The 27,386-nt window shown below is 46.1% G+C and overlaps 1 protein-coding gene and 1 long non-coding RNA gene across 6 annotated transcripts in view, besides 5 other annotated features; one reads left to right on the forward strand and one right to left on the reverse strand.

The window, feature by feature from the left end:
* The window catches only part of SAP30L-AS1 (SAP30L and GALNT10 antisense RNA 1), a 56,054-nt gene extending 55,082 nt beyond the window's left edge, over positions 1 to 972 (reverse strand). The window contains exon 1 of the long non-coding RNA NR_037897.1: positions 888 to 972. This is a non-coding gene — a long non-coding RNA (SAP30L and GALNT10 antisense RNA 1). The remainder of the gene's footprint in view (positions 1 to 887) is intronic.
* Positions 771 to 890: an enhancer, noted in NCBI's record as "active region_23477". NCBI's record gives its function as "activates an Ori minimal core promoter by ATAC-STARR-seq in GM12878 lymphoblastoid cells {active_cell/tissue: GM12878}" and the evidence as "EXISTENCE:reporter gene assay evidence [ECO:0000049][PMID:35858748]".
* Positions 944 to 1,444: an enhancer, noted in NCBI's record as "H3K27ac hESC enhancer chr5:153825354-153825854 (GRCh37/hg19 assembly coordinates)". NCBI's record gives its function as "activates a minimal SCP1, AML or CMV promoter by ChIP-STARR-seq in primed H9 embryonic stem cells {active_cell/tissue: H9 hESC(primed)}" and the evidence as "EXISTENCE:reporter gene assay evidence [ECO:0000049][PMID:30033119]".
* Positions 944 to 1,550: a biological region, named in NCBI's record as "H3K27ac hESC enhancer GRCh37_chr5:153825354-153825854".
* Positions 1,021 to 1,550: a silencer, noted in NCBI's record as "silent region_16541". NCBI's record gives its function as "represses an Ori minimal core promoter by ATAC-STARR-seq in GM12878 lymphoblastoid cells {active_cell/tissue: GM12878}" and the evidence as "EXISTENCE:reporter gene assay evidence [ECO:0000049][PMID:35858748]".
* On the forward strand, positions 1,147 to 16,203 carry SAP30L (SAP30 like). 5 transcript variants are annotated; one of them, NR_024084.2, is made up of 5 exons: positions 1,147 to 1,955; positions 6,241 to 6,363; positions 7,606 to 7,649; positions 8,552 to 8,650; positions 11,050 to 16,203. NR_024084.2 is itself a non-coding variant. In NM_024632.6 (4 exons), exons 1-4 carry the CDS (start codon positions 1,755 to 1,757, stop codon positions 11,176 to 11,178), a joined length of 552 nt encoding a protein of 183 aa, NP_078908.1. In that variant the 5' UTR covers positions 1,147 to 1,754; the 3' UTR covers positions 11,179 to 16,203. The 5 variants fall into 5 exon arrangements, 4 of the variants coding, with proteins under 4 accessions (NP_078908.1, XP_047273665.1, NP_001124534.1 ...); NM_024632.6 differs by lacking the exon at positions 7,606 to 7,649; XM_047417709.1 differs by lacking the exon at positions 11,050 to 16,203 and having other exon boundaries at positions 7,606 to 7,645; positions 8,552 to 8,604.
* Positions 1,681 to 1,790: a silencer, noted in NCBI's record as "silent region_16542". NCBI's record gives its function as "represses an Ori minimal core promoter by ATAC-STARR-seq in GM12878 lymphoblastoid cells {active_cell/tissue: GM12878}" and the evidence as "EXISTENCE:reporter gene assay evidence [ECO:0000049][PMID:35858748]".
* Positions 16,204 to 27,386: the final 11,183 nt, after the last annotated feature.

Raw genomic sequence — 27,386 nt, forward strand, 5'->3', positions numbered from 1 at the left:
CCTCCCCTCTTCCCTGCCCATAAAACGCTGCCCAGCCCTACATAATTACACGACCCTGGGCTGGTCCCATCGCCTTTCGGACCTCATCAGTCCCCATGCTGCGCAGTTGGAGAGTGGCATGACTGAAGTGCTGGACCAGAGCATATCCTACGGCCCCTCCTGGAGGGGAGGTGGTGCCCTGGGCGCCGAAACCAAGCGCAGGGTCTTGGCAGGGCGCAGTCGCTTCGCCGGTAGACCCGGGGACTCAAAGCAATAGAACTACAGCTTGGAGCTCCAGGGAGAGCCCAAGACACCGCAGCCCTTCCCCATCTAGATTCCGAGATTGGCCCCTGGGCCCCACTCCCAGCCTTCACTTCATCTCCCCTGAAGCCCTTTCTCTTGCCCGCGGCTCACCTAGTCCACCCTCCAGACCTCATTCGGACTTCCCATTCTTCCCAGTGGAGGGGTCGCCCAAACCCCTCGGGGTCTCCTTTCCCCCTCTCCTTTTCTTTCCGCGCCGTCCAAGCCAGTCCCACTCTCCACACTCTGGAAGGTATCGGCTACCCCCAATATTGCGACTGCCTTGCAAGATCCCCCCATCACCTCCTCCGCATGTCTTTCCACGTATCTGTATGGGGTTGTCCCTCTGTCTTTCCCGCCATGACTGGCTTTCCGTCCTATTTCACCCACCCTTCCTCCCACGGATCCGCGAGTCCTCTGGCCCTGGCCCTTTCATTTTATTAGTCCGCCCCTCTCCTGATAGCACCTCTATCCTCTTTAGGTCCCCTCATATGCCCCTCCTCCAAGTCTGTCCCTCAGCGTCCCCGTCCGCGTCTCTACTGTCTGTCCCCGAATGTGTTCCTCTGTTCCTGGAGTCTGGCCCTCGGTCCAGCCAGGCCCCTGCTCACCATCCCTCCCCCGGGCCGGAGAGTCTGCAGCCCGGTTCCCGGTTCTCGCTGGGGTAACTCTTTCCTCTTCCACTTTCTCTACTTTGAACCCATCCCAGCAGAGTCCAGGAAGTAGCCTGGCGCCGGAGACTGGCGGCGGCGACGCCCAATGGGACGCGCCAGCGGCGGCGGCAGCCCCGCCCAGAGAGCAAATGAGACCAATGGTCGCGTGAAGGCGGGACTTCCGCTGTCCCGCGAAGGGCGGGGGGAGCGAACTGTTGTGGTGCGGAGCGTTCGGCGGGCGGCGGCCGGGCGGCCCAGGGGCTGCCGCGGGACTCGGGGCGCAGCCGAGTGGCTGCAGGGGTGGAGTGGGCCGGACGAGCCGCGGGGCCCGGGTGCCGCGGGTTCGAGGCCGGGCCCCGCGCGAGGAGGCCGCGCCACCCCGGGGGAGCTGCCCGGCAGCGAGTTTGCCCCGCTGCCGAAAGAAGGCGGGAGCCGGCAGGGGCCTTCGAAACCCCCTGGCAACCCAGGCCCGGAGTCCTTGGGGAGCGGCTGTTTCCTGGGACGCCCTCCCGGACACCCCCGCTGCAGGGTTACGGTTCTGGGCCCCCGGCAGAAGGCTCCTCCGGGTGACCCCCGGCGGGGCCCTGCGAGCCGCGGGAGCCGACCCCGGGGCCTCGAGCCGGGAGGAAGGGGGCTTCCGGAGGCGGAGGGCCGGGGGCCGAGGGAGCCGGGCCTCTCGGACGCGGGGCAGGGCAGCGCCCGGGCTGGAGACGGACTCTGGGACCCTCGGCTGCGGGGGTCTCAGCGACCTGCCCCGCGGCAAGCGCGGCCGCGGAGTGGCCTACCGGGGACCCTCCCCCAGAGGGACCGGCCCGGGGCGGGGAGATGAACGGCTTCAGCACGGAGGAGGACAGCCGCGAAGGGCCCCCCGCCGCCCCAGCTGCCGCCGCCCCGGGCTACGGCCAGAGCTGCTGCCTCATCGAGGACGGCGAGCGCTGCGTCCGGCCCGCGGGCAACGCCTCCTTCAGCAAGAGGGTCCAGAAGAGCATCTCGCAGAAGAAACTCAAGCTGGACATCGACAAGAGCGTGAGTCCGCCCCCGCTCGCGTCTGGGCCCCGGCGCCCCCAGCTCTCCGTCCGCTGCCCTGGGCTCCAGTCGGGACTCCCCGGGCACTCCCCGCCGTGGGCCTCGCCGCCCCGGCTCTGCAGAACTGAGTTGGACTCCGCATTTCAAAGGCCGCTCCAGCGCTGACATGCTCTGACTGTGATTCTACCCAGATCCGGGAGGATGGGGGCGGGGGCTTCAGGACTCCTGCTGCCTGGAAAGATTGGACAGCAGTTTCCAACTTGTTTTATTGGTTTAGACTTTAGAGCAGGGAGAGGTGGGTTAGTTTTGTTGGCCCTTGAAGGAGCAAGAATCGGAGCGGGGAGTGATGAAGATACCCGGCTCTTTTCCAACTTCTCTCTCCTTCTAGGAACCCTGTTATTCCTTCAGACAGAGAAAGGTGGCAGTTACTTCCCTGGCTCCCGCATCCTCGGTATCAGCAGAGGGTCACCGAGCTAGCTGCTTCGCAGGCAGCTGTGGGAATGGGTTTTTCTAGGATGTGGCAGAAATAAGGCCAAGGCCAGGTCTTGAGAAATGGCTCTTGCAGTCGATGTGACTGGAGGGGGGAAGAAAAGAAATCAATTTTCTTAGTGGTAGTTTCTTTTGAAATAAGGGGGTGGATATTTAAATTTAAATCGGATTGCCCTGCTCTTTGTGGCTTATTATAGGAAACTCCTCCCGTGTGACTTCACCACTTCTAGTTAACAATTCTGAAGCTGTGCCTATTGTCAACCAATTAAGAACTTTTTAGTTTGACATCTGTTGCTACAAGCCTTAAGTGATTGCTTCATGATTAGGAATTGGAAATGAGTTAAGGGGATATTTAATATTCAGGTAGACTAGCTAAGAGCTTAGGTGGTTAACATCCATTCTCTTCTAGAATCAGAATTTCTCCACAGTTGGAGGAAATCAGAGACTGCTTGTTAAACTGAAAGGGAGTGCACGTTTCCCCTCTGATTTTAGGGTTGAAACAGGCCCAGAGATAGGAAGTGAGGGTGTCAGGTACACACAGCACCTAAGAGGCTGGTTAATTTCTTAAAGATATTATCTAATTTACTTCCAAGCCCTATACATAAGTCTTCATTAAGTCTCTAATAAATAAAAAATCTCCCCTGTCCTTTTTCTTTTCTTTTTTTTTTCTTTTTCTTTTTTTTTTTTTTTTTTTTTTTTGAGACGGAGTCTCACTCTGTCACCCAGGCTGGAGTGCAGTGGCAAGATCTCGACTCACTGCAACCTCCGCCTCCCGGGTTGAAGCGATTCTCCTGCCTCAGCCTCCTGAATAGCTGGGATTACAGGCGTTTGCCGCCATGCCTGGCTGATTTTTGTATTTTTAATGGAGATAGGGTTTCGCCATGTTGGACAGGCTGGTCTTGAACTCCTGACCTCAAATGATCCACCCGCCTAGGCCTCCCAAAGTTCTGGGATTACAGGCGTGAGCCACTGCGCCCAGCCCCTGTCCTTTCTTCAGACTCTTCCCTCCTACCCCCATTTTTAAGTTAATCATTATAATACAGTTGCAGCTCTTGCATGGACAGGTGCTATTTTTAAGTGGTTGGGAGAGAGTTAATGGCTTTCTTACTACAAATCTCTATCAATGAATGCATGAATGGAAATATCTGAGAACAAACAAGGGTCTAGACACCAAGGTGATCCCTCCTTAGGTCACACGTTGAGGTGAAATGCTTATGGCAATGAATTCATCCACTTAGAAACACTGCCTACCTTCCGTGTAGGTTGTTAGAAGCTGCTTTACTTGAGCAGCTTATAATAATAATTTCCAGTCCTTAAAAGAATCTTCCAGTCCTTTTAGATCACTGGATGCCTTCCCATCTGAATGATTTTGCTGCTGCAACTGGGACTCCTTTTATTTACCCATTGACTGTACTGGAAAACCTGTGTTGAGCTATGCTGATCATTTCACACACACTGTCTAGAAGAAGGGCAGCCTGAGCCTAGCATTAGTGTTCCCAAAATGTAATACTTCTGAGGTAGTAAGGTTTCCAGGTGGAATCACTCAAAATTTGTTTTAAGGTGGTGTTGTGGAGTCATTATTTCTGAAAGGGATTCTATTTCTTTCTCACAGGCTTGGGCAGGAATTCAATTCCAGGTAACTGGTATGTTACAAGAATTTTTAGCTATTGCAGAAAGTGAAGGAAAAAAAAAAACTAGAGCCTTTGCTACCACCCTCCTGCCCCAACCCCACTCCCAAAGGCCACTGAGCTCTGAAATTTCTGAAAACCAGTATGTACTTGAAAATGGTTAAGGAGAAAATGATTATTTATCTTGTAAGAGAGTCTAGCAGAGAACCTTTTTAAATAACAACACCAGAAATTCAATTCAGGCTGTTTAACTCATTTTATATAGACTTTGGCAGTGTTCTGTGATCTGTTAAAATACTAATATACCTCCAGTTGACATATTTCTGCTTTTTTTTTCCTGGAGAAAAGTGGAAGTTGAGAATAGTATAAAGGAAAATGCTGGAGTAGGAAAAGACATGTACTGGGGGGGCAGAAGGCCTGGGTGACCTTGGCCAGGTCATTTCCTCACTCTGGATGGCTTCATTTTACCCATTTAGAAAACGGATTGGGGTCAATGGGATTGCACTAGTGATTGCTAAGTTCTCTTACAGCTAGGATTCCGTTATTCTATTGTCCTGATCTGAAATCTCCCAGCCAAAGCTTTAGGAAGCCACCTATTCTCCCTGTTCTCCTATGAAGTTTGTTACTGTGAACTTGAGGAGCAGTTGATCTGAGTGGACTCGCCAGTCTAGCTAACATGGAGGGCTAGCTTCCTCTCAGGGATGCAGAGTGTGCTTTGTTGTGCTTTCTTCCTGGAGAAAAGCATGTCCAGTAGTATATACATCAGCTAGGTGGGATTCTTTGGGACAGTGGCATGTGCTGTGTTTGAAAGTCCTTTGACAGAGTTGAATCTGACAAAGCTATCCCAGTTTGTAACCATGTTAAGTGGTGGCTTTCATTAGCCTTAAGCCACTTTTAGATATAGGAGACTTCCTATATTGGTACATCAACATTTTTCGAGTACCTCCTGTCTGCAAGACACCATCACAGTATAAACTTAAAAGTACTTATGACTCACTAATCCAGCCACATGAAAGTGATCATTCATCTGAATAAATAAATAAACAGTTTTCATTATTTTCTCCATGAAAAGGTCTGAATTAATTGATGCGGATTTCCTGCCAGCTTACTTTTATCTTTAAGGATTTAAGGAATAAACTCAAATTCAGAAGTCTCTGCAGAACATTTGTGCAACAGCTGTTTCAGTATCAACAACCCCAAGTCATTTGCTGGGCATTCAGTTTCTGTAAAGTTTTTCAGTGGTTCCTCCAGCCAGCCTTGGAGGATTCTTCATGTCTTAGCTGTTGCTGCCACCTTCACTTACCAGTGTGCCTCCAGCCTGTATTAGAAAATCTGTAGTATCCACCTTCTTGTATGTGGTTCTACCTTGTAAGAACTTCCACATCTTTTTCCACTTTTCTTTGTGGATCAGATGTGAGATAATGCAAGAATTATAAATTGACACATAGAAACAAAGTTTTTCAAAGAGTTATTATCCTACAATAGTAGCTATTGTAATTGTAAAAATAGAGTGTCCCAAATACCGTTGCAACAGTCCCTTGTGTCCTGCTTTCCTCCTCCCCAGGACAGTACATTCCAGTCGACTATAAGTTTATGACTCCTACAGGTCTTCTAAAAATGTCACATCACTTCCTGCTTCCTTGAGGGACTCTGTCTTGTCGGAAGGAAAGTCTAAGCTGTTCTCATGCCCACCCCCCTGATGCCTCACTTTTTCATTATGCTCCTACATGGGCAGCCATCATCACCCAACTGACACTGTACCCTGGGCCTCCTCACTCTTTCTGTCATCCTCCATTGGAAACTCTAAAGTCTTGGCACTCCTACCCATCTGGAATGCTTCCTGTCTGCCTAAAGTCCTCCCTTTTAGTCAGGGCCCTTCACCCTGAGCATCTCTGTTGCAGGGATCTCTTCCTTTGCTGAATCTGTACCATTTACTGTCTTCACCATTCACTGGAAGTTTGGTGTATGATACGCTGCCAAGTGTGATGTTAGCATTCTCTTTGTGTTCTGCAACTCAGTAGTGAGCTTCTGGGAATGATGGCCTACATCTTGTCTTCCATCTATCTCTCCAATGCCCTGCAATGGAAGGAAGCCCCGCAATTCGACAGATACCTATTGCTGTCTCCAAGGAATTGGCCAACTCTGACTTTGATTTTTGTCTCCATCAGGTAAGGCACCTATATATCTGTGATTTTCACAAAAATTTCATCCAGAGTGTCCGAAATAAAAGGAAGAGGAAGACAAGTGACGATGGCGGAGATTCTCCCGAGCACGACACTGACATTCCTGAGGTAAAGGTCAAAGAAACCAGTTGCGGAAGCTGGAAGAATGGATTCTAATCTGATTCTCACCTCTGGCCTGGTCTGCTTTTTGTGTTAAGAAGTAATTTTAGTCCTTTTGTTTTGCTGTGGATTATTTGAAAAGTGAATTATAGTAATATGGAATCTGAGAGCTAAAAGCTTGGACACCCACTGGTCAGACTGCCCCATCATTTTACAGACAGGCACAGAGAGCCGAGGTCATGTATATAGTTTGGAGGCTCTAGTCTAGGGCCCTTTCCAGTAGACCACACTGCTTTTCTGCAAGACGCCCCTGACGAATGCGTAAATACAACCACAGTGTCACTTTTTTTTAAACCTTGTTTATGCCTTTAGAGAGTGTATAATGGTTTGGGAGAAGTCTTTTCCCCAAAAAATGAAGGTGTAAGTCATCAGTTCATACCAGCTCTGATTTTCTCTCACTGATTTCTTGACATCTAGTCCAGGCTGTTCCCAAGGATCCATTTCAAAGTTGACTAAACTGGACCCGGTTTTCTCAACTCTAGCACTGTTGACATTTGGGGTCAGCTAATTTTTGTTGTGGGGACTGTCCTCTGCATTGTAGGATATTTAACAGCATGCCTCAGCAGCATCCCCTCGTGAGATTCTACCCATCACCACCCTGAGTCATGACAATCAAAACGTGTCTCCAGACATTGCCACACCTCCTTTACAAGACAAAATCGTCCTGTGTTGAGAACCACTGCGCTAGACCATGAGACCTAGGCTTCTCAAACTGGAAGGCTGCCTTCCCTTCAGGTGCCCGTGTCTATTAAGTGAGGCTTCAGGAAGGAATATTGGATTTTCTTTCTACTAAATTGTTTTCACTCAAGACTCAGCAAGAGAAGAACCGTTTATAGTGTACATTGAATATTTGACACATGAATATTTCATAAGGCAACCGCCTGTTAGCACTCAGAGTGAAAATGACTGTGTAGGAATAGAAAGAGTAGGCGGGCCTTTGTCTGCAGATGTGGAGGAAACCGTTGAAAATCTGGCCCTTTCCCTCTGCCCCTCCCTGTGTCCCCTTTTCCAATGTTGGTTTACAGAATCTTGCTTTTGCCTTTAACGTTATTGTTATTTTACAAAGAAATGGACGTATTCGATTTCTAAGTGGTTTTCACCAAAAAAAAAAAAAAAAAGGTTTTGAGGAATGTTTTGAAAAAGAATGAAGGACTTTGGCCCCTCATATTGATCATTCATTTTGTTTTTAAGTGCTCTCCACCTGCCTGAAGCAAGAACAGCTCTTTTAGAGGCAGGTAAAGGCAGCCCAACTTTATGGGCCTTCAATTTTTCATGACTATGCAGCTTTCCTCTCTTCCTTTGTTAGAAACAAAAAGGGGGGGTCCCTTCCCCTCTGTTATCCAGTCATCTGCAAAGACCCCAGCCCTAACCTGCTGGATTGCACATTCACTACAGTAACTTTTGAACTTTCTCTGGAGGGAGGTTAAGGATTCTAATACCAGAAGGCTGGGCCTAGCAAAGAGCTATTTGAGGATAACAGCCCTCCTTTGTGCTCCTCTATCCGGTCGCTGCCTCGTTCTGGCCTATCATCCTCCAGGATGTCTCTGGTTTTTGCCTTTGCTCTCCATCTTTGGTGTCCCTTCTAGCATCACTGCCCCTCCAAAGCTCAGCCTCTTCATCTCATTCTGATTGTTGCTATAGCATCTCCCTCCGTATCCCCCCATCAGTCTTCCCAACAACCACCACCAGACCCATCCTGCGCCATCGCCCTCCACCCTCTGTGATAGCTCCTTCTGTTTTTCTGGATGTGCTACCATCCATTCTCACCTTTTAAATTCATCACAGTTGCCTGTGACCCCCTTGCCCATCTGTGCCTCTCCCAGCTCTCTGTGCTGTGATCTTTTCCCCTATTCCCTACCGTTTCTCAGTGCTTTATCAGACCCTGCTCCTCCTTAGCTTAAGCTTTACCTTTTCCACCAGTTTTGTGAGATCAGCCCACCCCAGCCAGAACTGTTTTTCTACTGTTATTTTTGCCCTCCTAGCCAGTTACTAGTCCTCAATAGACCATTTCTAAGACCTCTTTTGAAGCCCTCCCCATCCTCACCCCTACCTTAGTGTAGTGCTAGGCACATAGTGGGCTCTTGGTGAGTCCTGGGTGGTCAGGTGATGGATAACATTTTTCTCCTCTTCTCCCTAGGTTGATCTGTTCCAGCTGCAGGTGAACACCCTACGACGTTATAAACGACACTACAAGTTGCAGACCAGACCAGGCTTCAATAAGGCCCAGTTAGCAGAAGTAGGTAGACAAAATTGCCCTCTAAAGAGAGCCAGCATTGTGCTGCTTCTGATGGTTACCCTGATTCTCCCTTACCTTGTGTGTCTGCTAATTGTAATTTCCTCCAGAGTTCTGGAAGCAACTCTGTATTCCTCTTTGGCAATTTAGAACCCCACAGCTTTAGACCTGCAAAGGCCTCAGTTCCAGAAAAGAAACCATGGCACAGAAAGAGGAAAGGATTTGCTTAAAATCACACAGCAAGTTGATAGCAGAATTGAGCCTGGGATCTCATGACTCCAGATTCTAAGTCCTGAGTGTTCATTTGTTTGAATCTTTTTTGGAAGATTCCTCTTTTTGTTTTTTTGGAGACAAGATTTTGCTTTATCACCCAGGCTAGAGTGCAGTGGCTCAGTCTGGGCTGACTGCAGCCCCAACCTCCCAGCTTCAAGTGATCCTTCCCACCTCAGCCTCCAGAGTAGCTAGGACCACAGGTGCACACCCCTATGCACAGCTAATTTTATTTTTATAGAGATGCAGCCTCACTATGTTGCTCAAGTGATTCTCTTTGGCTCAAGCCATCCTTCCACCTCAGCCTCCCAAAGTGCTGAGATTACAGGCGTGAGCCACTGTGCCTGGCTTAGCAAAATGCTTTTTAGATATGATCATTTTGTGTGTCAGATTAATCATTTCAAAACCTTGATGTTCTACAGGAGCTATTTTTTTTTCCTTGATTTCTCCTACTCTGGTGTTGGTAATGACAGTATTTTAATGAATGGCACCCAAGAAAGTTTTCTCCTGCCCTGAGTTATTAACACAGTTTGGATTACGGGGAAATGCTCCACTGGCCATTTTTAAAATACATGAACTGCCTGGCTTGATAATTCTGTCTTTGTCATTTCTGCAGGTATTTTCTAATCCCTCTTTTCTTAATATATTTTTCTGCCTATTACAGAAAAGTTGGAAAATGGAGAAAAGAAAAATATAATTCTATCATCCAGAGATAACCACTCTTTATGTCTAGTTCTCTGTCTTTTTTTATCTGTTTCAGCCACCTTGATCCATTGAGATTTCCTGAAAGGCTTCCAGCCTGTTTCATTTTTGGTTTTTCCTTTAGAGGTTTCTTGCTCGACCGTCACTTTTTCTTAAACAACTCCTTCACCAGTGTCCAGATGACACACAGGAGGTCAGAAGCCTCTCCTACTTTAAAATAACATCACCCATTTGCCAGTGTTCTCCCTGGTGGAAGGGAAAGAATGAGGTGGGGCAAGAGGAGACCTGCATTCTCATTACTTATGGAATGAAGTATTAGGAGCATTAGTAAATGATGCATTTTCCTTCAAACCTGATATGTCTTTCAGGAGGCAGTTATGCACTACTTAGAAGAATTTTGGGGTTCAGATGCCTCTGTTCAATTTGTTCAATTGGCTGTTCATTTAACACAATTTTTTTTTTTTTTTAAAGACAGAGTCTTGCTCTATCTCCCAGGCTGGAGTGCATTGCTATGATCTCAGCTCACCACAGCCTCCACCTCCCGGGTTCAAGTGATTCTTCTCCATGTTTCCCGAGTGGCTGGGATTACAGGTGCCTGTCACCACACCCGGCTAATCTTTGTATTTTTAGTAGAGGCTGGGTTTCACCATGTTGGCCAGGCTGGTCTCGGACTCCTGACTTCAGGTGATCTGCCTGCCTTGGCCTCCCAAAGTGCTAGGATTACAGGTGTGAGCCACCATCCCCAGCCTAACCCAATTTTTATTTGTTTTTGAGACAAGGTCTTGCTCTGTCTCCTAGGCTGGGGTGCAGTCACAGCTCACTGCAGCTTCAACCTCCTGGGCTCAAGTGATCCTCCCACCTCAGCCTCCTGAGTAGCTGGGACCACAGGTGCATGCTACGACACCTGGCTAATTTTTTGGTAGAGATGAGTTCTCCACTGTGTTGCCTAGGCTGGTCTCGAACTCCTGGCCTCAACTAATCCTCCCACCTTAACCTCCCAAAGCATTGGGATTATAGGTGTGAGCCACCACGCCTGCCCCACAATTTTTTAAAGACACATTTCTTCCCACTTTCAAGGCCTGAGAGGTTTGGTAGCAGCTGGCCAACCAGAGCAGTCCCAGTCTCTCCTCCATGAGTATGACTGTGAAATCATGCCATGACAGGTGGTTGGCTGCCACTGAAATAGAACTGCACCTTGGAAGAGTTGTAGGTTAAAAAGCCACTTTTGGATCCTGGAAATTAAACCACCTACATCCCTGGGGAGGAAGGGCAAAGGGCACTCTGAGTTCCGCACATGGCAGGAAGTTCTTCAGCATTTGTCATTCCCGCCACAGCATGCAAACAACTCCATTCGCTTCTTTGTACAATGTAGAATTTGCGGTGTGATTTGTGCATGGTTTAAGGAACTTTGGTATTTTCCCCCCACATAGACTGTGAGTCGACACTTCAGGAACATACCTGTGAATGAAAAAGAGACCCTTGCCTACTTCATCTACATGGTGAAGAGTAACAAGAGTAGACTGGACCAGAAATCGGAGGGTGGCAAGCAGCTTGAGTGAGGATGAAGCACATCTTAAAGGAATGAAGTGTAATGCTTGATGCACAGGTGATATCTACTACATTTAAGCCCATAAAGACTGTTAAATATTATTGTAAATAAAAAAGTTTGAATGATGAATACTGTAAATCTTTTTGGTCAGGAGGATTATATTCTCATGATTCAGCATGTGTATAGAAAGACTTTCTTTTACGATAACTCTGGACTAAAAAAATCAGGATCATTAAAAGAATTAAAAACTATGTATTTCAGCATTCAACAAAGCATTAAATCAATTCTACTGGAAATGTGGGATAAGAAATATTTTGGTAATCACCTTATCCACCAGGCTGCCACGTGTGAGCTGTAGCTTGGAATAGCAGCAAGGTGCAATTGGCCATGGAAGTGCATGAGCAGACCCACATCTGGACTTGCATGCTGCCCGCTGGCGACATAGATATCCCGCCCGCTTTGTTGCAAGCTTTGTCATTTATCAGCAGATCAGTTTGACACTGGTCCCCCTCACTCACCCTGTGCCTTGTACACAGTAGGCACTCAATCAGTAGGTATTGGCTAATTGAGCTGTCACTAATAGTGCCAGCCTTGTAACATCCGCTTCACACCTCTCATGACTGAGACCTCTGCCATTTCTGTTGCTCACCACTTAACTGCTAGAATGTGGAGGAAATCCTGATGCACCAACAAGGAAGTTTCTGATCAGATAAGGATTTCAGGACAGTTGCATGTGCAAAACTATTCGTTGAGGTTCCAGAAACACTGATATAGAGACCCTCACAGAAGATACGGTCCCTTATGCACCCCACTATGCTTCACTCTTTGGGGTGCAGTTAGATATTATGACTTCAGCCAAGCTTCTTGGTAATAAATGCATTGACACACTGACATATTTAGTAGGTTGGGGCAAGTATTTTTAGAAGTTTTCATCCTAAGTTCACAACCACCATGCAAGCTGCCAGGGGCCATGTGATTCCTGCCCAGAAGTTCAGCTTAGGATTGAAAGTCTGGCTGGCCTTGACTCCCTGGGCTCTGGTCATCAGCAAATCATGAGTTTGGGCAACAAAGGTCAATTCCATCTGATGCTCATTTTTGTGAACAATTTGCCTCCCTCTTAGGGAGAAAGATTGCTAAAATAATTTTTGAAAATTACCTAATTTTTTTGTTGTTCAAAACGTTGAACTCCTCAATCTAATTATATCAGAGCCAAAGTATCCTGTGAAAACAAAGCTTTATATCCAAAAATGTGCTTTTGCAAAATTCTTTAATCTGTGTAATGGAGGGCAGAGGGTATGGGGTAGGAGGGTGGGAGAAAGAAAAGAAAAGAATTTGGATTCTAATTTATGACCATCTTGACATATGGTCAAAGGTGTCATTTTCCTACTCAGTTTCAATTCTGAGTTAATTTCTTAAGCCTTAAATAATAAGAACAATGGACAGCCTGGCCTGGCAGAGAGTTTCACAGATGACTTAATCTGAGCACCATCACAGAGAAGTCAGGACTAAACCCCCTACTGAGCAGGGCGGCGGAGTGTCCAAAGGTCTCAGTTCTGTGGAGCAGAGTACCACGCTTTCTGTGGAATGGGGACAGGGTCACCACGCTCACTAAAATGCAGTATGTTCCATTGCAGCAAAGCTTTCGCCTGTGTTCAAAATGCATGTCTAGCAGATTGCAGCCTTTTAAATTAAATATATATAAATGGTTGTATATAGAATATACTCTGGACTGTGAGGGCATCCTATTTTGGTATGCCTCCTGGCTGTGGATGGCATGTCCAGTGCTCTGTGAGTGTTTTCAGTCATTCACATTCACTATGTGTTTAGAGATTCTCTCCCTGCTTACAGCTGAAGGATGTTGATACAGGCATCAAGAAGGCTGAGGGGCAGATGGGGCCTGCAGGTTAAGGCATTGTTAACTTGCTCCATGGAAATGTCCATATCTTAATGAGTAAAAAAGTGTATTTTTCTGATACGTAAACCAGAATTGTGGGCGTGTAGGTCACATCACTATTTCTTTAGCAGCAAATCTGTTTTCCCAGTTGAGAGAGACAATAGCTTCTGCACAAGAATATATGATGGTAGGATCCATCTGTTCAATTGTGTCTGAAAGAATCTTTATTCCAAAGCGAAACCTGGGGAAATGTTTTACCTTCAGCCAGATGCTGTGTGTGTACTTGGGTCCCTTGTCTTTCCTCTAAGGAGAGGTGCTTGTGGAAAGTGGAGGTTGTGGGCATCTTTTCAACCTTTTCAATCTGACCTTTCAACAGGTCAGGTGAGAGAAAAGACAAAGCTATTTGAACCTATGTTTTTCTTATGTCCAGAAATCTGTTCTTTCATCAAACCACTAAACCACTCGCCTTAGCCTCTTCTGCAGTTTCTGGTGGCTCTATCTGTGGGCAAGGGACTCCTGCCTGTGAGAAGTGGCCAGGCCCTCCAGAGCAACGGGGTCTGGCTTCAGGGAGCAGTGGGGTGTGGGGAAAGCAATGTTCATCTTGGCTGCTCCATTTTTATACCATCCATCAAGGACTCTTGCGCTTCTCTCCACCTGTGACGTAGCAGCATTGCCTTCTTTCCTCTTGGTGCTTCTGGGCAAAACTGGAATTTGAAATCCAGAACTGGCGTTGTCTTCTTAAAGAGTATGGTTCCTGCCTCAGTTCCAGCCTGGTATGGTTCTTTGATATGCCCTGAAGGTTCTCACATGGAAACATCAGTATCCTGCCATTCATGTTGTTTTAAGATGTTTTAAAAACCAATGGACAAACTTCTTGCTTCAAGGAACAAACTCTTAGGTTGGCAACAGCATATAAAAAAAAAGATCACAGCTGAATCTCATGAAAGATTAAAAACCAAAGGATTCAAGACCGGTGTTGTAAAATGAAGAGGAATTTTACTTACATGTTACAGCTGCCAAGTTTTTAGATGTTCCTGTCATAGCTAAATAGTCACTGCTAGCCTTTCAGAGAACAGATAGTAACAATTGTTTGCAGCTGCAGTGTTGCATCTAATTTTGGTGTTTAGGCTTTTTATTTTGTGGGAAGCTTTTTGTTAATATCCTGCAGGGCAACTGCCTGTTGGGAGGGAGAGGATGGAAGAAGGAGCTTACTCTGGGGGCCTTGCCTATTGAGGGAGGCTGTTGCCCAGAGCAGTTGCTTCATGGAAGTCATCCAAAGGCGCTCTCAGTCATTACAATGACAGGATCTCAAAGTTGGGAAAGGGCTGTTAAGTCATCCAGTCTAGTCTCCACATAGGTGCTGACATTCTGCCTACAACCATCCCACCAAGGGGTTGAGCAGTCTGGACTTAAACACCTCCGAGGACAGAGAACCCACTACCTCGTGGAGAAGCCTGTTCTTTGTAAACCTCTGGCTTTTCTATGTTCTCTGTAATTTCCATCTTAGTCTCTGCCCCATGGGGGCCACATGGGACAAGTTATTTTTGGCAAAGCACCTAATTGCTGGCACTGTCCCAAAGCATAGCGTTTGCCTTTTGGAAAGAAACAATGCTAGGACATGGACACTTTGGTACACTGTCCTTACCCCTGAGTATTAGTCCACTCAGTTCCTTGTTGGAGAATGTTGAGAAAACCCTACTGGCTGGCTTGTTTCTGCCAAAGCTTGGGGAGAGGAGAGGGGGATGAGAAGATGTTAGCAGCCTGCTAAACCTCAGACAGATGAGGACTCAGTTCTGTGCTTGCCCCACAAAAACGGATGCTCACATCATCAGGAAATTGTTCAGCTGGAGGATTTATAACTTCGTTGCTTTGCATGAAGTTTAAAGTTTTCATGGTTGCCCAGGGCTTGTACCTTAGATTCCTGTAAGGACTTTGCACTGTTTTTGCTGAGAAAACAACGCTTCAGGACTTAAGGTCTAAGCGTCAGAGAAGTGCCGTATTTTCAAGGTGGAAAGTCTGTTAAGCTTGCTGTTGTCCAATCATCCGTTTTTAGAGATGGGGAAACTAAAACTCAAAAAGATGTGCCTGAGGTCATATGGCATTATCAGAACCAACCTCTGGCCCTCTTGACCTGTCTAGCATTCTTTCTTTCTGACCTATAGGATGACTCTAATTCAGTCTAAATCGGCTGCCCTCAGATTCTTGAGAACTTAAAATTGAGCAGAAATTCCCAAGGCCAACCTAGCTCTCAGGGACCAACCTGCAGAACTCAAGATTGAGCGAAATGTTTAGGCCAGTTGAGTTTTGCAAAATGAGTGGTAAGGGAAAACAGATCTAGCCTGTTATTTAAAACCAGGGTTCAAAAGCCCTATTGGGAGAGGTAGTATTGTCCTAGCATTTAAATTCTCATGAAATGTGCTTGGTCTGTGATCTCTTGGTCAGATATCTGCCTTCCAGGCGATCCTTTGAGGTTGTGTAATTCAGCTGGCCCTGGCTCCTGGTCCCTGTTACTGAGCTGGGCAGTCGAACCGAAGGGCAGATGAGCTCAAGATCATGCCTTGGGAAGCATGGTGCTCTAGGGGTGCCTTTTTATTCCTTTCATTGTATTATAGACTGTTTCCAAGTTTATGGTTAGAAATGGTAAAGTGGGTCTGGTGTTTTGAGGTAGAACCCAGCCTAGGGCAAGATATGAACTGTTCTTGAGGTAGAAATGTCTACAGTCAGTTGTTTCATCTAGCTTGCATCTTAAAACACAAACCCTTCAGTTGCTTTCACTTAATGCACACATTTGCCAATGACAGAGGGTTATACAGGATCCTTCTTTTACATTTCTATTGTCTGCTACGCTCATCAGAGTATATTTTGGGGTACAAGGTTTTGGGGGTTTTTTTTCCCATTTTGTAACTGCCTTATTGAAAAGTAAGTGCCCTTCCATTCCAGGCCTCCTCATATTGTACTTGTTTCCTGCCAAATCTGGGGGATCATTTGTATTTTAACTTCGTAATCTATGGCTCTGTACTGTTGAAAGGCTCTCAATTCTGTGGGGTCTCCTTAGTATGTATGTGACTTTTCATGTTGCAATATCACACGATGGGATGGCCCGACTTTTGCTCTTAATAAATAATCTGAATGAGTAAGAGACCCTCTGTCTTCCCTTTGAATTTTTATATAGAATTCAGATGCTTTCACTTCCACATTTGGCCCCTGGCAGTGTATTACAGTGATTAATGACAGTGGTCTTTCCTCCCAGCTCCAAATACTAGCACCTACATCCCCAGTGCACACTGAGTTTAGATCCCAGAAGGTTAGGCCCAAGTTCCAGTACTGCTATCCCATTCACTCACCTGGAAAGAGACTGACTGGGTCCAACAGCCTGAGTCTGGAGCTCAACTTCCATGTAGTGTACTGGATGCACTGGGCAAATAGAGTTCTCTCTCTGGGTCTTCAGTTCTCCATCTAAATAAACTGTATGGAGGATTGATTGCACATTGAAATATCTGCAGAGGGTGAGCTGCAAACTGGAAAACTCAGGTCCCTTCTAAGGGCAGCCACTACTCAGCTCCCCGCTACTGTAGCCTTATGGGCACACCAGCCCTGTGTGACCGGGTCTTGCAATTTGACTGGAGAAGCTGGAAATTCAGATCTTCATGTAAACATCCCAATGTTTAAATGTCTCAAAGACATTTTTAACAGCGTGTGACCTGGAGTTTCTTCACCTACAGTAGAGTCTTGCTATTTAAAGTTGGTCCATCATCTGGGCACTTGTTGGAAATGCAGAATCTCCCAGCCCCTCCTGCTGGCCGTCTACTGAATCAGAATCTGCATAGTAGCAAATTCCCTAGGGATACTACAGCTTGAGAAGCCAGGGCAGTATGACTGCACGTTCCTGGTGGAGGTCCCTGAGGCTACCGGATGACGCCTCTCGCCTGTCCTCACAGTGCTAGAGAAGAGAAAGGCAAGCCTCAAGTTCAGGTCTCCCACTTCAAGCCTGTCTCTAGTGCCACTTTACCACAGCTTTGTCCTCAGCAGAATGAAAAGGGAGAAGTGCAATAAATATTTGTCTTTATCATATTAGTTACATAGAAGTAATACATCTTAGCTCTAAAATTTTAAGCCTTACAGAAATTTTAAAAGTGCAGATCCTTTCCTTCCCACATCCTTCTCCTCTCCCATTCCACTCCCCTGTAAGGAGTGTGGAGGGTGGCTTTTCATGAGATATTTGAGAGGACAGGAAGTCCTGGCTCTCACCAAGGAGCTCACAGAATTAGTGATGGATTGTTGCTGAAGGACACCATCATTTACAGGGTCCCTGAGTTGCTTTAGAAAGCAAAGGAAGTTCCAGTTTTCATACTGTGTTTCTTAGCATAAGTAGTTGCTTCCCCTCCTCTGCCATCCTCCCATTCTTTTTTTTCTTTTTTTTTTTTTTTTTTGAGACGGAGTCTCACTTTTTCACCTAGGCTGGAGTGCAGTGGCGCAGTCTCGGCTCACTGCAAGCTCCGCCTCCCGGGTTCATGCCATTCTCCTGCCTCAGCCTCCTGAGTAGCTGGGACTACAGGCGCCCACCACTGCTAATTTTTTGTATTTTTAGTAGAGACGGGGTTTCACCGTGTTAGCCAGGATGGTCTCGATCTCCTGACCTCGTGATCCACCCGTCTTGGCCTCCCAAAGTGCTAGGATTACAGGCGTGAGCCACCGCACTCGGCCTCTCCCATTCTTTTATACTGTGTCTAACCATGGGGGCCTGCCTGCTGTCCTCACACACTGAATGGCAAAGGGGTGCTTTGTCCCCACACTTTGAAAACTGGCTGACCCCCTGCTGCAGTAAACATCCCTTGATGATCCACAGATATCAATTTAATGGAAAGATGGAGATGAACCCACATGTTAATATGCTATTAGAACAGAAGTTTCACGAGGAACCCAACACCCTTTTATTTTCTTTTCAAAATAGAGCTTTAGGACATCGAATATCAGATCATCTGAGGTCCGGTGTTTTAATCCCAGCACTTTGGGAGGCCGAGGCGGGCGGATCACAAGGTCAAGAGATCAAGACCATCCTGGCCAACATGGTGAAACCCTGTCTCTACTAAAAATACAAAAATTAGCTGGGCATGGTAACACGCACCTGTAGTCCCAGCTACTCAGGAGGCTGAGGCAGGAGAATCGCTTGAACCCGGCGGAGGTTGCAGTGAACCAAGATCGTGCCACTGCACTCAGCCTGGCGACAGAGCAAGACTCCATCTCAAAAAGAAAAAAAGTGTGGCACTTGCCACCCCTTACCCCCATCAGAATCCCCTAAGCACTCTGTTGCAATGCCAATTCCTGGGCCCCCATTCCAGATCCTCAGAATGAAAAGCTCAGGGTCTAAGTCCCAGTAATAATGATTTTTAAAATTTCTCCAGGTAAGACTTAAGCTCAATAAAGTTGAGAAGCACCAATCTGGTCCAGAGGTTTCCCAATCCCAGCACAGAGATGAACAGCTTCAGTATCACCTGTTCAAATACTAGTTAAAAGTTCCCCTTGAGCTCTCTTTCATGAGAATTTTCTCAAGTGAAGCCCAGGAAACTATGTTTTTATAAAATCCTCTCGGATGCTGGGCGCGTTTTATAAAATCCTCTCGGATGCTATAATCGCAGCAATTTGGGAGGCCGAGGTGGGTGGATCACTCGAGGTCAAGAGTTCGAGACCAGCCTGGCCAACATGGCGAAACCTTGCCTCTACCATACAAAAACATTTAGCTGGGCATGGTGGCACATGCCTGTAATCCCAGCTACTAGGGAGGCTAAGACAGGAGAATCGCTTGAACCCAGGAGGCGGAGGTTGCAGTAAGCCAAGATTGCACCACTGCACTTCCAGCCTGGGCGACAGAGCAAGATTCTTATCTCAAAAAAAAAAAAAATCCTTTCAGAAATTTATCTGCACATCCAGGTTTAGGAACCACTGAGTCCAATCCCCTAAGGCCCTGGTCAAGAAAGTATTATAACTATGTTACGTTCAGCATCAAACAGCTCAGAAGTGGCAGAGTCTGAGCAAACAGAGTGGCTGACACTGTTGTCATTCAAATGGATGATCTTCAGTCTGCAGAAAACCAGAATGAAAATAACCCACCATTCCAGCCCAAGACCTGACACAGAGGAGGACACTATATTTATTTAGTACTGGGACTGAGTCTTCTGTGTACTCAACAGTTTTTTGTCTACAAAGATCTTCTATATTCAGGAATAATAATAGCTATCAAGTACAGAGTCCATGCCAGACAATGGCTAATAGTTTTATGTGCATTAATTCATTTAATCTCACTACAATCATACAAAGTAGGAACTATTATTAACTCCAATTTATAGAGATGTAAATACAGTCTCAGAAAAGCTGAGGAACTTGCCCCAGTAACAATGAGAGCCAAAGAGGTAAAGGCACTCCCAGGATGGATCCCCAAGGCTTGCCTCGCTCTAGGGATACTGCTGTCAACCCCACCGTCCAAGAACTCAGAATGCCAAGCTCTGAAGCAGCGCAGCTACAACAGTTACCCTTGTCCCAATCAACTGGATTTACTAAACTTTAATGAGGGATTTTGAGAAGTCACTAGGACTCTAGTTAAGAAATTTAATAGGGTTTAATGGAGGTTAACAAGGTACATCCAACCTTCTAGCCAGGTTTTAACTTACCAGAGCTGAACAGAGATTAACAAGCCCAGGAGGTGTAAAGGCACCTGCATGATTTAATGGGGTTAATGAAACTGTCAGAGGTTGGCTGAGAGGGAGAGAACTGGAGCATGCTGCTGTTAACAGTCGATCTGGTTGAGGTCAACAGACATTTATTAAACAGCTGAAGCCTGCCCTGTTCTGCCCTGGGCACCACAAGGGTAGCCAGTTAAGAAAGACCACAACTGATATGGCAACCATGGTTAGTCCTGGTTGGTGATTTTGGAGTAAATTTGACTCTCTTCTTTGTGCTTTCTTGGTATCATCTAAACTGGTTATAATGAACACAAATCATTTTCACCGTAACTGTAAAATAGCAAAGCATTTTTAAGTGCCTTCAAAGCACTTACTACCTGCTTGCATAGTTTACTTTACATATTCCCGAAACATATAGAAAGTAGTAAGAGAAGTAAAAGCAACAACAATAATACAACCTTAAATTTGAGCAGCACTTAAAGTGTTGTACAGCGCTGTCATCCATCACTTCTGTGAGTTTTTGTCACGCTATGAAACAGTGATATACAAAGTCACACTGGTAGTGGAGAAGACAGAGAAAATCTTCATCTTCCGCCTCCCGAATTGGTACTGTTTTTTCACTGAGCACTTACAATGTGACAGTCCCAATGGTAAGTAAGCACTGTACATGCCTTGATAACCCTATGAGATGAGTATTATTATTATCCCCATTTTATAGATGAAAAAATCGTTTAGAAGGGTGAAGTGGCTTGCCCAAGGTCACCAGGAAACGGTGGGGATGAGTCACACAGGTTCCAGCGTCCACTATGTCATGCTGCCTAATACTTGAGTAAGATAATATTTCGCAAGAGCATTGTTTAGAACAGTGAAGAACTGGAAACAGCCTATATATCAAATACTAGGAGACTGGTCTTGAAAGCATTATACATATGTCATAATTGTAAAATAATGTTTAATGACATAGAAAGATATGCATATCAGCTTAGAAATACTATATATGTAAACATATGTATACAGAGTATCTATATACAACTATATGGAATATGTATCTGTATAGATATATGTTTATATACATAGTATACATGTATATTTATACACACATATCTGTAACTATGACCATATATAATTTTTTTTCTTTGAGACAGGGTCTCACTTTGTCACCAGGTGATTGGAGTACAGTGGTGCGATCTTGGCTCACTGTGGCCTCAACCTCCCAGGCTGAAGTGATCCTCCTGCCTCAGTCCCCCAAGTAGCTGGGACTACAGGCGTGCACCACCACCATGCCTGGCTGATTTTTTTGGTATTTTTTGTAGAGATGGGGTTTTGCCATGTTGTTACCCAGGCTGGTCTCGAACTCCTGAGCTCAAGCAATCTGCCAGCCTTGTCCTCCCAAAGTGCTGGGATTATAGGCGTGAGCTACCATGCCCAACCCTGCTATGACCATATTTATAGGTAAATCAAAGCATCTACTTGCTAACTTCATGTGTAGCCACACTCTATCTATGTGATTCAGAGTAAGGGGAAAATACCAAGGAAAAGGCATTCTGAAAAGTAGGGGAGCTTCCCGGAAGAGGAAGCACCTAAGCAGGCCCTTGAAGGAAACAGGTTTGATGAGATGAGAGTGAAGGGAAGTCCAGGCTGATGTGACAGTGAATGAGGAGCAGAAAGCCTCATGCTGGAATGAGTACCTTGAACTTTGGAGTCATCAAACCTGCTATTATTAAAAAAAACAACCCATTGATGAAATATGGTCACAAAAGTATTTGAGTATCTGCTGTGGGCCAGGTGCCAAAGGAAACGGACTCTGTCCTCCAGGAGCCAGGAATTTCAGAGGAGCTAAGACTCAGACAGGAGTGGGAAGTAGTCCTTCAACTACTAAAATCATAGAATCTGTGATGAAAGCTCGGAGCCCTGCGTCAACCCTACTTCTGAGGAAGGAGCAGTGCATAACGGGCACTTGAAGTCTTAGAGAAGCCAATGAGGGTTAGCAAATGTAATGAGCTTAATTAAGCTAAAACAGTTAAAAGAGACTTCCTGAGGGCTCATAGCCACTAGCAAGATTGGCCTTTGTTAAGTGAGCAGTGGGAGGTTACCTGTGCCCAACCAGAGCCTCTCCTGCCTAAGTGATGGGGGATGCAGGAGTGGACCAGGCTTCAAAGGGAGCCATCCAGTCAGCTGGGCTGGGACAGGTTCAGCAGAGCTCAGACTCAGCCACGCGCACTAGCAACTGCCAGAAGGTGAAGCTGTATCTAATGAAACTTACTGAAGCCCAAAGAATGAGGACTGAGGGAATCAATTACTCACAAGACCGCAGCCTGCCTACTGGGGTTTATCTAAACTAGATGAAGTTGAACTTGGCTGAGTCAATTTAAACAGTTCCAAGGGGGCTCCTTCATCTTCAGCGAAGGGTGTTCTATCTCTGGTGGCTAATATAGTTTTCAAATGTATGCTATTCGTATTTCTATCAAGGAATATTTCCAAAGCTGGATATGAAAAGATGGTCAGGATGGCCCAGCTGCAGAAATATAGCTATTATTTGTTAAGCACCGACTGGGAAGTAGACACTGTGCTAGGGTCTTTGTATATGGTCCTAATCCTCACACAGACCTGCAAAGAAGCTATTATCATTGCTAGTTTTCAGATGGGAAAACTACAGCTTGGAGAAGTCAGGTGACTCACCCAGGGTCTCACAGTGAACTGGGATTTGAGCCTATGTCAGTCTGACTCCCCTGTGCACCATGCAACCTACACCACAGAATGAAGTGGAATATTGACCATGCTGGGAAGATGGAAGAGTGGTAAAAGCTGTTGGAAGAACTCAGGATCCCAGCAACCTGGGTTATTTAGTGCAGGGGGAAACTGCCCTCTGTGTTCCATTAGCCCTGTGTAGTAGTGGCAGAAATATTCTGAGTTACTAGGAGAGGACTGTGTTTGTTCAGTGGCTTCTATTCAAAGGAACAGGAAAAAAAAGTGTGGCGCATTTCAGATTTCACATAGTAAGGAAACACAGATCCCTGTCCCTAAGGCATATTTAGGTAAGAAGGCCTCAGAGATCTTGGGTTACAAAACCCCAGCGTCCCTCAGGAGTTAGGCTCACACCCAGGACTCCTGGTTTTGTGAACTTGCTGAGTCCCTTCTCTACGCCCCTGAATTGCCAGAGGAAGTTAAAGAAAGGGAGTCCTGGGGCTCCGGGCTCACCTTGCAAGGAGGAGTCTGGGATCCTGTCTGGTTTCTCTGCGCTGAGAGTGCAGAAGAGGGAGTATGGCCACCAGGTGGCGCCCTCCCCTCAATCGGTGGCAGCCTCAGGCCACAGGGGAAGGCCCTAGGAGTATTTTCTGTCCCTCATAGAGATGCTGTATTTGGTGAATACTTCGATTCACACCGTTGTAAAAATCCTAGAGAGTCCATGCAGAAAGGGACTTAGATCTGGTCCCCCTTCCTTGTTTTACAGAGTCCAGCTGGGGCAAGGAAGTACCGAAGGTCACACAGCAAACTGAACCCCCTTCTCTTGCCTTCTGGGGCTAGTGCTTTTCCTGCCACACTAGCTGTTCTTGCACTTCCAGCCACACCTCCCACGCCTCACCGTCGGACAGCCTGCGCTCTACCCTCAGCCAAGAGCCTGGTCTCAGGGTGCCCTGAAGGGCCACGCTGTCTTCGCCTTTCCTGCCACACTCTGTCGCTTCCCAAGCAGGCCCAGCAGCTCAACCTCAACCACAACAGCAGCAAGAACAGCTCGTGTTTACCACCGGCCTGCTCCAGGCCAGGCTAAGAGCTTCCCAGGTCCTCAAAACGCTTCTAGACGCTACTCTGCCTTCCCTTTTTTTTTCTCTCTTTTTTTGAGAATTTTTTTTGAGACAGAGTCTTGCTCTGTCACCCAGGCTGGAGTGCAGTGACGCGATTTCAGCTTACTGCAACCTCCACCTCCCAGGTTCAAGCAATTCTCCTGCCTCAGCTTCTCGAGTAGCTGGGATTACAGGTGCACGCCCCCATGCCCGGCTAATTTTTGTATTTTTTTAGTAGAGACGGGGTTTCCCCATGTTAACCAGGCTGTTCTCCAACTCCTGACCTTGTGATCTGCCTGCCTCGGTCTCCCAAAGTGCTGAGATTACAGGTGTGAGCCACTGCGCCTGGCCTCTGCCTTCCCTTTTACAGAAGTGAGCTGTGGGTCTCAGAAAGGTTAAAAAACCTGCCCATTGCCATGCAGCTCATTTCACCAACTCACCTAGTTTTGAGTACAGGCCTGGGGGGCCAGTCTAGACCTCCCTGTTGACCTTGGCCAGGCCTCTTGTGCTAATATGTTTTCTGTTTCAAAACACTTTTTTTTTTTTTGAGACAAAGTCTCACTCTGTTGCCCAGGCTGGAGTGCAGTGGCGCTATCTCAACTCACTACAACCTCCACCTCCCAGGTTCAAGCAATTCTCCTGCCTCAGCCTCCCAAGTAGCTGAGATTACAGGCATGTGCCAACACGCCCTGCTAATTTTTGTATTTTTCGTAGAGATGGGGTTTCACCATGCTGGTCAGGCTTGTCTCGAACTCCTAACCTCAGGTGATCCACCCACCTTGGCTTCCCAAAGTCTTGAGATTACAGGCGTGAGCCACCGCACCCAGCCTTCAAAACACTTTCAAAGATCTTTTCCCACTTCAGCGTGACAGGAGTTCTGTTGCGGGGAGGAAAGATATTGTTAGCCCATCTTAGAGATTAGAAAACTGGGGCACAAGGAGATGACTGGACCAAGGTCACCTGACTCATAGTAGACTTGGAACTGGAACTAGGTGGGACACTCCAAAAGGCACTCCACATCTTACTGCCCAGCTATAGTCCCCCTACTGTCTCTGGGAGTCACGGAACTGAGTGGCTGAAAGGGCAGGTTTTCGAGTCAAATGCATCTGGGTCTGCAGCCCAGCCCTGCCACTTAATAGTTATGTGCCTGGACCAGGCACGGTGGCTCTCGCCTGTAATCCCAGCACTTTGGGAGGCTAAGGTGGGAGGATCATTTGAGCTCGAGACCAGCCAGCTGACAAGCTGAAACCGCATCTCTACTAAAAATACAAAAAGTTAGCCAGGTATATTGGTCAGCACCTGTAATCCCAGCTACTCGGGAGGCTGAGGCAGGAGTATCGCTTGAACCTGAGAGACGGAGGTTTCAGTGAGCCGAGACGGCACCACTGCACTATAGCCTGGGCAAAAAGAATGAAACTCCAACTTAAAAAAAAAAAAAAAAAGCCCCTGGTTTTGAAGGCTTAGTATGAAAAAAAAAGAATGTAAAATATCTTACTAATAATTTTTAGATGGATTCATGTTGAAATTCTATTTTGGATATATTAAGTTAAACAAAATACATTATTAAAATAATTTCACCTGTTTCTCTTCTCATTTTTATTGTGGCTACTAGAAAATGTTTAATCACCTATGTGACTCGCACTTATAGCTTGCATGATAGTTGTACTGTACAGTGCTGCCTGAAACAGTTTCAGAAATTCAACGGCTACAGGCTGCCTTCCCCCTGTGTTACCTTAATGATGTGGACTATAAGGGCTTTGAAGCAGGAATTTGCTCACTGGGTGTGTGTCCTTGAGAAAGTCACTGAAATCTTCTGCATCTGTTGGAAGTATGCCCTGAGTCTCCAAAGCCAGCAAACAAACCAAAAGAAACCCTCAATGCTTCACAAGACTGTTATGAGGATTAAATAAAATAATAAAAATAGCTCTACCATGGGCAACGCGCTAAGTGCTTTGCATGCCTTATCTCTTTCCATCCTCACAGACCCAAGGATGTTGGGGGAATGATTGCTCTCATTTTGTAGATAAGAAAACTGAGGTTGAGAAATGTTCAGTAACTTGTGAAGAAAACTGAGATTGGGAAATGTTCAGTAACTTGTGCAGGGACTCCTGGCCCTTGTATTGTTCTGTTCCCTGCACTAAAAGTAGAAGGTATTAAATAAACAAAGGGAAGAGAAGGGCACAACTTCCCTGAGATGCTGGGCAAGTCCCTCTCCTTTGTGAGCCTCAGTTTCTCCTTCTGTAAATGAGGGACATGCTTGGATGGTGGGTAAAGACCTTTGAGGTCTCAGTGTTATGGGGTGTGTTCACATTTCAGTGAACATAAGCCTTTCAGGACTCCTCTAAAGTCCGATGCTTTCCATTGTCTATTTTGTGGGGATAAATGTGCATTTCTGTTTGTTTTAATAACATTTGTAGGAGCTTTATATAGTGTCTACGTCTGCTTACATTAGATGCTGTGTATTATAGTTAAGAGTCTTTCACGATTTCCCATATAAACCTAGTTTTTTATGAGTTTGGGAGAGCTCAGCTGTAAAAACTCTCTCAGCTGAAAAAATTTTGTTTCTAACAAATCAGGTTTAAATCAGGAGGCTGGTTTCAGACACTTCAGAACGTGCATATTTTTTCTCTTCAGTCACTCTTCATTTAAAAATGAGATTGGCTGATTTCTTAGTTTCGTTTCTTTTGTGAAGATTTAGCAAGACTATAAGGTTAACCAATGGTTGCATAGACAGAAGGTATCCAGTGCCTTTTCCGTAAGAACCCTGGGTTTGAGGCGCACCTTCTAATCCGGGCTCAGCCTTTGACTGGCTGTGTGACCCTGAACTGGTCACATCAACTCTCTTGGGTTTGCCTTTCCCACATCTGTCCATGGGGAGCATCATTCCTGCCTTGGCTGTCTTCCAGATTATGGGGAGGAAAATGCACTTATAAAAGTGGAAGTACCCGGGTAAGGTAAATGTGCCAGGCAAACACCAGAGACTACTGCAAAGAATAACGTGCTGAATTCCTCACCAGGAGAAAGTAGATTCCTGGAATCAGAATGTTACTAACAGGAAACCACCTTGGAGCCTACCCTTTTCCTCATTTTCTAGATGGGATCCACTCAGAGCCCTGACAGGGGAAGAGGGTTCCAGGAGAATGCTGGAATTTGAATCCCAGATCCTTTCACGTAACTCCTTCCTTCTTTTTTTCTCTACCTTACTTTGGGGACTAAGGAAGATCAGACTGAGAGAAACTGTATTTGGGCACATATGTATGTATACACACACACACACACACACACACACACACCTGGAGGTGCTCCGAGATGTGGGGGAAACAGGTCTCTGGAGGTAGCCATGTTTGCACTTTGATACAAGTCCTATCTGCCATCCATGTGACCTTGGACAAAATCCTTCACCTCTCTACGCCTCAGCTCCCTCAATATTGACCTCACGGAACCCTGTGAGGCTTATATGAAATAATGCATGCTGAGTTTAAATACTTTTCTTTATAAATGTTAGCTGTTACTATTCCATTCATCAATAGACTTTAAATGTAAGAAAAAAAGACTATTTGCTGTGTACGAGGAATAATAAACTCTTCAGGACAAATATTTTCTGTTGTATGTTAATTGATCGTTATTAGGATCTTTTCATTATATTTATGCCCACAGTGCCTAGCACATGGTGGGCACACAATAAATGTATGTTAAATAAATGGTGTATTGAAAGTATGCTGGCAACAGAGGAAATTGCAGCTTAATTTTTATTGCAAAAGTAATACTTATTCATTATAAGACATTTAAGAAAAATATGGCTAAGCAAGAGGAAAAGTCAAAATTACCCTTATTCCCACAAGTCAGAGGTAAAGGTGTGAAAGTT

Source organism: Homo sapiens, chromosome 5 (assembly GCF_000001405.40).
Source record: "Homo sapiens chromosome 5, GRCh38.p14 Primary Assembly".
NCBI classification, from domain to species: Eukaryota; Metazoa; Chordata; class Mammalia; order Primates; family Hominidae; genus Homo; species Homo sapiens.